This window comes from Homo sapiens, chromosome 5 (assembly GCF_000001405.40).
Source record: "Homo sapiens chromosome 5, GRCh38.p14 Primary Assembly".
Lineage (NCBI taxonomy): Eukaryota > Metazoa > Chordata > Mammalia > Primates > Hominidae > Homo > Homo sapiens.
Genome location: NC_000005.10, coordinates 624888 through 638041, shown reverse-complemented (window position 1 = coordinate 638041; position 13154 = coordinate 624888). Strand labels below are relative to the sequence as shown.

At 54.6% G+C, this 13154-nt stretch overlaps 1 protein-coding gene across 11 annotated transcripts in view, besides 1 other annotated feature; it reads right to left on the bottom strand.

Annotated features, from left to right (window-relative positions):
- The window catches only part of CEP72 (centrosomal protein 72), a 64277-nt gene that overhangs the window by 38575 nt on the left and 12548 nt on the right, over nt 1-13154 (bottom strand). For all 11 annotated transcript variants that reach the window (NR_164122.1, XM_047417363.1, XM_047417364.1 and 8 more), the window contains 3 exons: nt 4095-4273; nt 2458-2670; nt 224-525 (listed from right to left, as the gene is read on the bottom strand). Coding sequence is in view for 10 of the 11 variants with exons in the window: in XM_047417363.1 (XP_047273319.1) it covers nt 224-525; nt 2458-2670; nt 4095-4273 (694 nt within the window). In the remaining variant the exon portion in view is untranslated. The remainder of the gene's footprint in view (nt 1-223; nt 526-2457; nt 2671-4094; nt 4274-13154) is intronic.
- Nucleotides 796-965: an enhancer, noted in NCBI's record as "experimental_86736 CRE fragment used in MPRA reporter constructs". NCBI's record gives its function as "activates a minimal promoter by MPRAs in K562 erythroleukemia cells, with activity observed for both the introgressed and non-introgressed 5:637277 variant alleles {active_cell/tissue: K562}" and the evidence as "EXISTENCE:reporter gene assay evidence [ECO:0000049][PMID:34662402]".

Below are 13154 nucleotides of genomic sequence, written 5' to 3'. Positions count from 1 at the left end.
TGCCGTAGGCGTAATCACGGCACCGCCAAAGCCGTAACAGCCCCGCATCAGGGAGGGACACGGTCAGTGCCGTAGGCGTAATCACGGCACCGCCGTAACAGCCCTGCATCAGGGAGGGACACAGTCAGTGCCGCAGGCGTAATCACGGCCCCGCCAAAGCCGTAACAGCCCCACATTAGGGAGGCAGTGCCGTGGGCCTGCTGCTCCCCAGCCCTTCTCTCACCTCTCTGGTGTCGGTCACACCCCGAGACCTCTGCTCCTCAGTCTCCGAGGCCTCAGGCTGAGACAAGGTCCTCCCGTTCCTGCTTTCTGAGCTGTCCTGTCTGCTCAGGCTCTCCTTGGGCACGGAGGACCCATGAGTTCTCTCCGGGCAGCCCAAACCCTCCTGGTCCGAAAACGTCTGGAATCTTCCAACAGGCATTCTTCGCTTCCTGCACTTTCCGGGGGCTGGCAGGGGACCAGGCACCATTTCTCCTGACAAATCCAACTTCTGAGAAGAGGCCGAGTCCTCGGTATCCATGGAGTCTGAGATATAGAGAGGATGGGGCGCACGTCAGGCCAAATTCTCTGGGTGCAGTGTTCAGCACTGTAACTTTTAAAAGGCATGTGTGTGCCCATGTATATACACACATGGACACACACGCACACTTACATATGTACACGCACACCTATCCACGTGCATACATACATCCATACACCTGCACAAAGGCACATGCAGAGGGAGGGTGCCGAGGGAAGAAAGGGGCATACTGGGGCACACGTGCTAACACGCAAACTCTGGGGGAGTCTGGATGAAGCAGACACGGACCGCCCAGCTTCGCGTGTTCACCCCGTGATGACCGACGTGCAGTACGCTTCAACAACGCGTTCCAAACAACGTCTAAGCACACGCCCATCTCTGAAGACAGGTGAAGTGACAGACTCTGATGGTCCGTAAAGTGGTGGGTCCCGTGCACTGTACCGACCACTAAGCCCCCAGGACACACAAGACCCGGGGGAAGGCAAACTTGTCTGTGGAAGGACAATGAAGGCAGGAGAAGGCACAAAACGGGCACAGCCTTGGCCTCCACCACAGCCTGCTCAACTCAAGATGACCCATCACATCCTGCAGCGGCTGACAGACAACCTGGCTAGGTCCCCTGCCTCTCACCAGTTGGGCATGAGCAAGCTTCCAGGAGGCGCCAGGGTCACGCGAGACAAGGTTTCTCTTTTTCTTTTTTTTTTTTTTTTTTGAGTTGGAGTCTTGCTCTATTGCCCAGGCTGGAGTGTAGTGATGCCATCTAGGCTCATTGCAACCTCCACCTCCCAGGTTCAAGCGATTCTCATGCCTCAGCCTCCTGAGTAGCTGGGACTATAGGTGCCCGCCACCATGCCCAGATATTTTTGTATATTTAGTAGAGACCTGGTTTCACCATGTTGGCCAGGCTGGTCTTAAACTCCTGACCTCAAATGATCCGCCTGCCTCGGCCTCCCAAAATATTGGGATTATAGGCGTGAGCCACCGTGTCTGGCCTGCTCACGGCAGGAGGTTTTCTGATACTTATGCCACATAGGTGGCCATCACATGGTATCACGTGACACTCTTGGTTAACTTTTCTCGCCTTTGATTTTCAAAATGTAGCTATTGCCATAACCTGGGCCCATACACTTAAAAGTGTGTGTGCATTAGTGAGAGGGTGAGGGAGGGTGTGCACACACACACGTGCAGAGAAAAAGCACTTATTTACCAACCATGAATCTAAACCATGAATGGATTATAAATTTCAATGTGCTGCATTCTTTCCAAAGACATTTTGGAGAGTTCCACAAACAAATAAATACACAGAGAACAGGAGAAATTTCATAGTAAAAGCAAACGATGTGAAAAATATTTAACTACTTAAAAAGGAACTGAAGGGAGTAAAAGTTGACAGGGATTTCATGTTGCTGTAGTTCGAAGGAACCCCCCAAAGTTCCTAAGCTGGAAACTTATTGCCACTCTAACAGTATTAAGCGGAGGGCCTTTAAGAGGTGAACAGGTCACAGGGCCAGCCCTCAGGGAGGCAGGAATGCTGTAGCACAGGGCTGGGTTCCTGATAAAGGATGAGTCTGGAACAGGTCACAGGGCCAACCCTCAGGGAGGCGGGAATGCTGTATCGCAGGGCTGGGTTCCTGATAAAGGATGAGTCTGGAACAGGTCACAGGGCCAGCCCGCAGGGAGGCAGGAATGCTGTAGCGCAGGGCTGGGTTCCCGATAAAGGATGAGTCTAGCTCCATTTCTCTGTCTTGAGCTTGCTTCTGCCTGCACCATGCTTCTGCCTGTGCCATGGGAGGACCAGCACCAGGTGCCGGCACCGTGCTCTTGGACTTCCCAGCCTCCAGAACCATGAGCCACATAAGCTTCTGTTCTTTATAAATTACTCAGTCTGTGGTTTTCTGTTACAGCAACAGAAAACAGACTAAGACACGCGTAAGTACCTGGGTGTGGGGTGAAGTACGTGTGTGGCCTGGGGGCACGGGAGGCCTCTGGCTCCGCTCCGTACAGTGGCGGAAGCTCTCCACAGAGCTGGCTCCAAGGCATCTTCTCCAGACAGCACCCTCTGCAGCTGCTCCTCCTCGTCTCACGGCCCTGCTTCCCAGAGTCCCCACACTGGTACTGTACCAACTGCGGGCTCAACAGATGTCTGGATTCTATTAAAATATTGTAAATAAAATATTTCATAAAACATTGTAAAAGTTTTATTCCATCAAAAATTACATTTTAAGCTTCTGAATAGTGTATGGTATCTGTTAGACCGAGGGGTTAATCACGTGCTGGGTGACACTGAAATGAATCCACAGTGACTTCTAACAGCAAGAGAGCTTGGAACTGGGAACTGGCGCCACTCGCCTGCGAGACTCAGGACAAGGCTGCAAGAATCCAGCCGCATGAAGTGGAGCAAAGTCAGACAAAATGATGCACAAAACAGAAGAGAGAGTCCAGACAGTCTCAATACAAAATTAGCTGGGTGTGGTGGTGGGCGCCTGTAGTCCCAGCTACTTGGGAGGCTGAGGCAGGAGAATCACTTGAACCCGGGAGGCAAAGGCTGCAGCAAGCCAAGATTGCGCCACTGCACTCCAGCCTGGGCGGCAGAGCAAAACTCCATCTCAAAATAAACAAAACAAAAAACAAAATAAACTGTGCCCTTCATAAACTGGACTGTAATGAAATTAAAACTTGTGCTCTTCAAAGCACTGTTCAGATAATGAAAAGGCCAGCCACAGAAGGGAGGAAATGGGCAGCCCTTGTGCCTGAGAAAGGGCCTGTGTCAAAACCACCAAGATCTCTTAGGACTCAATACTAAGAGAAGCAACCCCAGAACAAAGGTGGGCAGACCTGGAGAGAAAAGAAGAGACAGGCACGGCCAGTATCTCAACAGCAGCGGATGCAAATTAAAGCCATAAACACAGACCACAACCCCCTGACAGAGCAGCTAGGATTAAAGGACTCAGCTCCCAGTGCCGGCAAGGACATGGCTCGAGCACCGCTGCCACAGGGCAGACATCTTTGCACAGATGAACCTAAGATTTCAGCCCAAACTCAGGTCTCCACCTGTTGTTTCCACGAAAAGTTCTCAGAAACTCACAGCGGAGGTGGAATAAATGAAGCTAAAGCCCATCAGCACATCCCAGTGGAGGGCAGTGCCACCGGGCAACGGAGTCTCCGAGACACCCTTGCTGGGATCTACAGGTCTGCACGTGGCGGCCTGAGCTCAGGGTTTCCTGCAAGTTCGGTGACTATGCCCCCCTGCAGCTGCCGCAGATGTCAGCCCCACTTGCCACAGGACACTAGGCTTCTTGTCTGTTTTAGACAGTTTGCCTTTTCCTGTGATCTCAGAAGGATACAATTTAAACCATCATGCAGTATGACTATACTCAAATATGTTAACTTTCTCATTTATAACTCTGTAGTCCAAATGGCTGGCATTCGAAAGCACACAAAGACACATCATGAAGATCCTATCCTTCAAGGTAAGTTCCACAAAAAGAGCAACTGTGGACTCCAAGCCCAGTAACGACTATATATATCCCAGAGCCAGCGGACCCACTGGCCTCCTGGCAGATGAGCAGCGCACCTTGGGAACCACGAGAGTCGGCCTCACGCCCCTTCTGGCTGAAGCTCGTGCTCCCGGGAGGCCTGCCGAGGTCCCACTCGCACTCTGCAATGAGGTTCAGGACTGCCTCGTCATCCGCATCCATGACCAGGCTCTGCTTGGCCAAGGCCTCGGTGCACTTGGCTCTGGGGTGGTGTGGTCTGTAAGGAAAAGCAAACTCATCAGCATCACTCAAGCCAGCCATATGCTCCGGCCCACGCAGACCAGGAGAAGGAAAATTCCTGCACGGTCTCTGAGAGAAGCAGCGTGCTGCAAACGTGGGGCAGCCGGGTCCTGTTGCTTCCACTGCAGTGATGCTAAAGAGTGACTCACCAAGGACAATCGGTGAGCAACAGCCAGGTTACGTGATAACATGACAGCATCCCGGCACTGGACAGAACCCCACCAGGACTGGGCCAAATCCCAGCACTGGACAGAACCCCACCAGGACTGGGCCAAACCCCGGCACTGAACAGAACCCCACCAGGACTGGTCTAAATCCCGGCACTGGACAGCACCCCACCAGGACTGGGTCAAATCCAGCACTGGACAGAACCCCACCAGGACGGGACTAAATCCTGGCACTGGACAGAACCCCACCAGGACTGGGCCAAATCCCGGCACTGAACAGAACCCCACCAGGACTGGTCTAAATCCCGGAACTGGACAGCACCCCACCAGGACTGGGTCAAATCCAGCACTGGACAGAACCCCACCAGGACTGGTCTAAATCCCGGCACTGGACAGAACCCCACCAGGACTGGGCCAAATCCCGGCACTGGACAGAACCCCACCAGGACTGGTCTAAATCCCGGCACTGGACAGCACCCCACCAGGACTGGGTCAAATCCCGGCACTGGACAGAACCCCACCAGGACTGGTCTAAATCCCGGCACTGGACAGAACCCCACCAGGACTGGGCCAAATCCCGGCACTGGACAGAACCCCACCAGGACTGGTCTAAATCCCGGCACTGGACAGAACCCCACCAGAACTGGTCCAAATCCCGGCACTGGACAGAACCCCACCAGAACTGGTCCAAATCCCGGCACTGGACAGAACCCCACCAGGACTGGTCCAAATCCCGGCGCTGGACAGAACCCCACCAGGACTGGGCCAAATCCCGGCGCTGGACAGAACCCCACCAGGACTGGGTCAAATCCCGGCACTGGATAGAACCCCACCAGGACTGGGCCAAATCCCGGCACTGGATAGAACCCCACCAGGACTGGGTCAAATCCCGGCACTGGACAGAACCCCACCAGGACTGGTCTAAATCCCGGCACTGGACAGAACCCCACCAGGACTGGGCCAAATCCCGGCACTGGACAGAACCCCACCAGGACTGGGTCAAATCCCGGCACTGGACAGAACCCCACCAGGACTGGGCCAAATCCCGGCGCTGGACAGAACCCCACCAGGACTGGGCCAAATCCCGGCGCTGGACAGAACCCCACCAGGACTGGGCCAAATCCCGGCACTGGACAGAACCCCACCAGGACTGGGTCAAATCCCAGCACTGGACAGAACCCCACCAGGACTGGTCTAAATCCCGGCACTGGACAGCACCCCACCAGGACTGGGTCAAATCCCGACACTGGACAGAACCCCACCAGGACTGGGTCAAATCCCAGCACTGGACAGAACCCCACCAGGACTGGTCTAAATCCCGGCACTGGACAGCACCCCACCAGGACTGGGTCAAATCCCGACACTGGACAGAACCCCACCAGGACTGGTCCAAATCCCGGCGCTGGACAGAACCCCACCAGGACTGGGCCAAATCCCGGCGCTGGACAGAACCCCACCAGGACTGGTCTAAATCCCGGCACTGGACAGAACCCCACCAGGACTGGGCCAAATCCCGGCACTGGACAGAACCCCACTAGGACTGGGTCAAATCCCAGCACTGGACAGAACCCCACCAGGACTGGGCCAAATCCCGGCGCTGGACAGAACCCCACCAGGACTGGGCCAAATCCCGGCGCTGGACAGAACCCCACCAGGACTGGGCCAAATCCCGGCACTGGACAGAACCCCACCAGGACTGGGTCAAATCCAGCACTGGACAGAACCCCACCAGGACTGGTCTAAATCCCGGCACTGGACAGAACCCCACCAGGACTGGGCCAAATCCCGGCACTGGACAGAACCCCACCAGGACTGGTCTAAATCCCGGCACTGGACAGCACCCCACCAGGACTGGGTCAAATCCAGCACTGGACAGAACCCCACCAGGACTGGTCTAAATCCCGGCACTGGACAGAACCCCACCAGGACTGGGCCAAATCCCGGCACTGGACAGAACCCCACCAGGACTGGTCCAAATCCCGGCACTGGACAGAACCCCACCAGAACTGGTCCAAATCCCGGCACTGGACAGAACCCCACCAGGACTGGTCCAAATCCCGGCGCTGGACAGAACCCCACCAGGACTGGTCCAAATCCCGGCGCTGGACAGAACCCCACCAGGACTGGTCCAAATCCCGGCGCTGGACAGAACCCCACCAGGACTGGGCCAAATCCCGGCGCTGGACAGAACCCCACCAGGACTGGGTCAAATCCCGGCACTGGATAGAACCCCACCAGGACTGGGCCAAATCCCGGCACTGGACAGAACCCCACCAGGACTGGGTCAAATCCCGGCACTGGACAGAACCCCACCAGGACTGGTCTAAATCCCGGCACTGGACAGAACCCCACCAGGACTGGGCCAAATCCCGGCACTGGACAGAACCCCACCAGGACTGGGTCAAATCCCGGCACTGGACAGAACCCCACCAGGACTGGGCCAAATCCCGGCGCTGGACAGAACCCCACCAGGACTGGGCCAAATCCCGGCGCTGGACAGAACCCCACCAGGACTGGGCCAAATCCCGGCGCTGGACAGAACCCCACCAGGACTGGGTCAAATCCAGCACTGGACAGAACCCCACCAGGACTGGGTCAAATCCCGGCACTGGACAGAACCCCACCAGGACTGGGCCAAATCCCGGCACTGGACAGAACCCCACCAGGACTGGTCTAAATCCCGGCACTGGACAGAACCCCACCAGGACTGGGTCAAATCCCGGCACTGGACAGAACCCCACCAGGACTGGGCCAAATCCCGGCACTGGATAGAACCCCACCAGGACTGGGTCAAATCCCGGCACTGGACAGAACCCCACCAGGACTGGTCTAAATCCCGGCACTGGACAGAACCCCACCAGGACTGGGCCAAATCCCGGCACTGGACAGAACCCCACCAGGACTGGGTCAAATCCCGGCACTGGACAGAACCCCACCAGGACTGGGCCAAATCCCGGCGCTGGACAGAACCCCACCAGGACTGGGCCAAATCCCGGCGCTGGACAGAACCCCACCAGGACTGGGCCAAATCCCGGCACTGGACAGAACCCCACCAGGACTGGGTCAAATCCCGGCACTGGACAGAACCCCACCAGGACTGGGCCAAATCCCGGCACTGGACAGAACCCCACCAGGACTGGGTCAAATCCCGGCACTGGACAGAACCCCACCAGGACTTGGGTCAAATCCCGGCACTGGACAGAACCCCACCAGGACTGGGCCAAATCCCGGCACTGGACAGAACCCCACCAGGACTGGGTCAAATCCCGGCACTGGACAGAACCCCACCAGGACTGGGCCAAATCCCGGCGCTGGACAGAACCCCACCAGGACTGGGCCAAATCCCGGCGCTGGACAGAACCCCACCAGGACTGGGCCAAATCCCGGCGCTGGACAGAACCCCACCAGGACTGGGCCAAATCCCGGCACTGGACAGAACCCCACCAGGACTGGGTCAAATCCCAGCACTGGACAGAACCCCACCAGGACTGGTCTAAATCCCGGCACTGGACAGCACCCCACCAGGACTGGGTCAAATCCCGACACTGGACAGAACCCCACCAGGACTGGGTCAAATCCCAGCACTGGACAGAACCCCACCAGGACTGGTCTAAATCCCGGCACTGGACAGCACCCCACCAGGACTGGGTCAAATCCCGACACTGGACAGAACCCCACCAGGACTGGGCCAAATCCCGGCGCTGGACAGAACCCCACCAGGACTGGGCCAAATCCCGGCGCTGGACAGAACCCCACCAGGACTGGGCCAAATCCCGGCACTGGACAGAACCCCACCAGGACTGGGCCAAATCCCGGCACTGGACAGAACCCCACCAGGACTGAGTCAAATCCCGGCACTGGACAGAACCCCACCAGGACTGGGCCAAATCCCGGCACTGGACAGAACCCCACCAGGACTGGGTCAAATCCCGGCACTGGACAGAACCCCACCAGGACTGGGCCAAATCCCGGCACTGGACAGAACCCCACCAGGACTGGGCCAAATCCCGGCACTGGACAGAACCCCACCAGGACTGGTCCAAATCCCGGCACTGGACAGAACCCCACCAGGACTGGTCCAAATCCCGGCACTGGACAGAACCCCACCAGGACTGGGTCAAATCCCGGCACTGGACAGAATCCCACCAGGACTGGTCCAAATCCCGGCACTGGACAGAACCCCACTAGGATTGGTTCAAAAATTAAAGTTCTGGAAGATTCTGTTCTGCTATGTGATTACACTTTTCCTAGCACATCCACAAGGAGATACACGTGATCAAGAAAGTTAAGTGTTCCAAATGTTCACTTTCACATTCAGGGAGAATGTTTTCATAATGGCTGAAATCAGAGGTGTGTCAGAATATGACCCACCTTAGCATGGTGACCCTCTATACAGAGAAGAATGTGCTCAAAGGGGACCTTGTTTCCAACAAAGGCAGTTAAGAGATATCTACACAAAACAAACCCAAGGGCAGTGACCAGGAACGCTGCTTTTGTGAGTGGCTCATGATACGACACCTGGTCCACCCGAGGACAGTCCCACTCCCCGGGGCCTGCGATCTGAGTTCTCCAGAACGCTGCACAAAGAAGGGGGCTGGGTCCTGGGAACACTCCCCGGGGCCTGTGACCTGAGTTCTCCAGAACGCTGCACAAAGAAGGGGGCTGGGTCCTGGGGCCACTCCCCAGGGACGGCAACCTGAGTTCTCCAGAACGCTGCACAAAGAAGGGCGCTGGGTCCTGGGGCCACTCCCTGGGGACGGCAACCTGAGTTCTCCAGAAGCTGCACAAAGAAGGGGGCTGGGTCGTGGGAACACTCCCCGGGGACTGCAACCTGAGTTCTCCAGAAGCTGCACAAAGAAGGGGGCTGGGTCCTGGGAACACTCCCCGGGGCCTGTGACCTGAGTTCTCCAGAAGCTGCACAAAGAAGGGGGCTGGGTCCTGGGGCCACTCCCCGGGGACTGCGACCTGAGTTCTCCAGAAGCTGCACAAAGAAGGGGGCTGGGTCCTGGGAACACTCCCCGGGGACTGCAACCTGAGTTCTCCAGAAGCTGCACAAAGAAGGGGGCTGGGTCCTGGGAACACTCCCCAGGGACGGCAACCTGAGTTCTCCAGAAGCTGCACAAAGAAGGGCGCTGGGTCCTGGGGCCAATCCCCGGGGCCTGTGACCTGAGTTCTCCAGAAGCTGCACAAAGAAGGGGGCTGGGTCCTGGGGCCAGGACCTCCCTGAAGCCTGACACTGAGCATAGTTCCTTGGGCGTCCCCCACCTCCTCTGTGCGGTATGGACATTGACCCACGTCATCTTCCACTCTCATCTCTGTGATAGTTCAGTCTTGAGATGATCAAAGACGGGAACTGTGGACAATCTCAACTGAGAAAATCCATGACTGAAGCTTTCACGCCGGGACACAATGAGTCTGAATGTCCACAAAGACGACCCGGCGGGCGTGTCAATCACTAACCCTCGTGTCTGTGCCACTGTGCTATGAAGCATATTCTGTTCTCATCATCTAGAGGTTAAAAGTCGCGTGTGGTATAAAGAGTAATCTTACGTGCAGTGGCGCTCCATGTCTGCACGCACCGAGTGACGCTCCGTGCCCGCGCGCACCCTGAGAAAGCAGGAAAGTGCATCCACACGTTGCCGCTGGTCACGGTCAGCAGCGTGAATGGCGGGGGAAGACTTTTACTCCCTTTCTTTTCATCAGTTTCTGTGATGTTTGTGACTTTTACACCAACCAAACACTACTGTAAAGTTTTAATATAAGTAAATGTGAAGCCAAGTAAAATACTATTTTTTGACTAGAATACAGCATTTCCAACCACGTGGAATAAGTGCTTCCTTTATTCCTATATGTATTAGAAGAGAAAAAATTTGAAACAATCTTGTAAATCAGAATAAAAATGTATTTGGAGTGGTGTCAGCAAAAAATGGCAGACAAAAGAGCTCCAAATTCTAGCCCTCCGTAAAAAAACAACTATATAAAAAATAAGAAAAGGTATCAGAATGAGCTTTTTTGGAACTCAGAACCCAGCTAGCAACTGTGCAGGAAAACAGCCAGTTTTCAGTACAGACAGTGACTGTGACACTCTAACCCACCAAGTCCGTTCCCCAATCCCAGCTCAAGGGTAGCTGTGGAAACGCCAGCCTGAGTTCCATGTACAGGGCAGCCCTAATCCAAAAGTTCAAAATTCGTAACATGCAAAGGAAATGTTAACTAAGAAAAAAGAAAACACGAATAACTGACATGAAAGAGGGGTTATCACCACAGATCCCAGAGACATTAAAAGGGAAACAAAAGAATGTGATGAACATCTATCTAGGCCCACCAACGTGACAACTCAGATGAGACGACCAATTCCTTGAAAGAAACAATCTGCCAAAACAGACAAACTGTAGAGATCTCTATTAAAGAAATCAAGTCAATAGTTAATAACCTTCCAAAACAGAAAGTACCAGGCCAGATGGGCTCACTGTACAGAAGAAAGTATATCAAATCTCTACAGTATCTGCCAGAAGATGGAAGCAGAGAGATGACTTCCTAACTCATTCTATGCGGTCAGCATGATCCTAAAACCAAAACCAGACAAAGGCAATATAAGAAAACCACAGGCCAGTATCTCTTATGAATAGACACAAAAATCCTCAATTTAAAAAATCAGCAAACTGAATCCAACAATCCAACAGAATTCCATACCACAATCAGGCAGGATTTATTCTAGGTATGCACGGCTGGCTCAATACTTACTTCTATTTCTCTTACAGACAGGGTCTCACTCTGTCACCCAGGTTAGAGTGCAGTGGTGCGATCATAGCTCACTGCAGCCTCCAACTCCCAGGCTCAGGGGGTCTTCCTGCCTCCCGAGTAGCTGGGACTACAGGCACGCACCACCATACCCAGTTAATTAAGAAAAAAAAAAGTTTTCTTACAGACAGAGTCTCACTATGTTGTCCAGGCTGGTCTCAAACTCTTGGCCTCAAGCAATCCTCCCACCTTGGCCTCCCAAAGCACTGAGATTACAGGTGTTAGCCACTGTGGCTGGCCCAGTTCAATGTTTGAAAATCCTTCACAGCAACAGGCTGAAGGAGAAAATCACAAGATCACATCATAGATGCAGAAAAAGCATTTGACAAAATCTAACACTCCTTCATGATGATTCCTTTCAGCAAACTGAGAGTGGAAGAGAGCCTTCTCCGCATGAAGACAACACCTATCATCCATGGCCAGCAGGCGCAAGGCTGCGCTGGAAACCAGATGCTCTCCCACCAAGACAGGAGGTGAGGCTAGGATGCTCCCTCTCACCAGACTTCCCAACATCATGCTGGAAGCCCCAGATAAGGCAGTAAGGTAAGAAAAGGAAATAAAAGGTATACCGATCTGGAAGGAAGGAATAAAACTGTTCACAGATGACATGATTTTCTATGTAAAAAATGACAAAGAATCCAAAAGAAAACCCCATGAAACTAACAAGTGATGACAGCCAGGGTGCAGGATTCCAGGTGTCAGGAGTGGCGCACTGTGCCGCCCCCCCCTGCCCCCCACCCAAAAGACATGTTGAAGTCCTTAACCCAGTGCCTCGGAATGCAACCTTTCTTGGAAACAGCGACTTACAGAGGCAATCAAATTACCATGAGGCCATTAAGGTGGGCCCTGATCCACGATCACTGGTGTCCTTCTAAGAAGGGGAAACCTGGCCCCGTAGAGAGACAGGCACGGAGGAGAGATTCTGTGAAGAGACACAGGGGAAGACGGCCTGTGAGAGCAGGGCTGGAGGGAGGCCCTCCGAGACAAACAACGCCAGCGGCTGCGTAGATCACCAGCAGCCAGGAGGGGCATGGAACAGCTTCTCCCGCACGGCTCACATGAGCAGAAGGTGCAGGTACCAGAGTGCTGCTGTCCACGCAGCAAGTAGTCTGGTTTGAAATGGGGTGATGGGGGCTGCAGGACAGGTATCTGAGGGAAGAGGCGATCCCAGGGATGCAGAGCCATTTCGGAGACACTGGAAGAGAAGTCAGCAAAAAACGGCTCAAATCGGGCCCCTGCCTGCGCTGTGCGTGGGCATCTTACGGGCACACCATCCTGGCTTCCGTGCTGCCAATGGCTGCCTCCGCCCTGCAAAGGCAGAGCTAAGAAGATGGGACAGAGGTCACGCAGCCTCCAGGGCCCAAAACATTCACACAAAAAAGCTGACTGATCCCTGCACTAGGAGTTTAAAATGAGTGGAGGCATCTCACACAAGAAAAAAAATGATTTGATTAAAAGCCTCAGACAAGACAAATGGTACTCAAGAAAGTGTACAATCCGACCACTTTCCACGGCTATGCAGACAGAGTCCACTGATTTCTGCCCCTTGAATCAACCCATAAACAAAGCACGAAGTCTCTCTAGGGTTTTGGGATACACGCAGATACTATCAACCGAACATAGACATGCAGGCAGCAGGGCTGGGGCTGCAAGGGGAAGCAGGCCCGGCTCACACACACGCCCACGGTCTCCGAAGGTGGCCTCACCAGCACCAGCCATGGGGAGGGAGACAGGAAGGCGCATCCCGGCACCGTCACAGAAAGGGTGGGGGAGGAAGAAGTCCTCCTCGATCCAGGAAGACGGGTCCTGCTGAATGTGCTCACGGCCAGAAGTGGGATTTGGCTGGATGGGCAGCTAAGAAAGTAGCTGAAGCGAGAGCTGGAAGCAGAG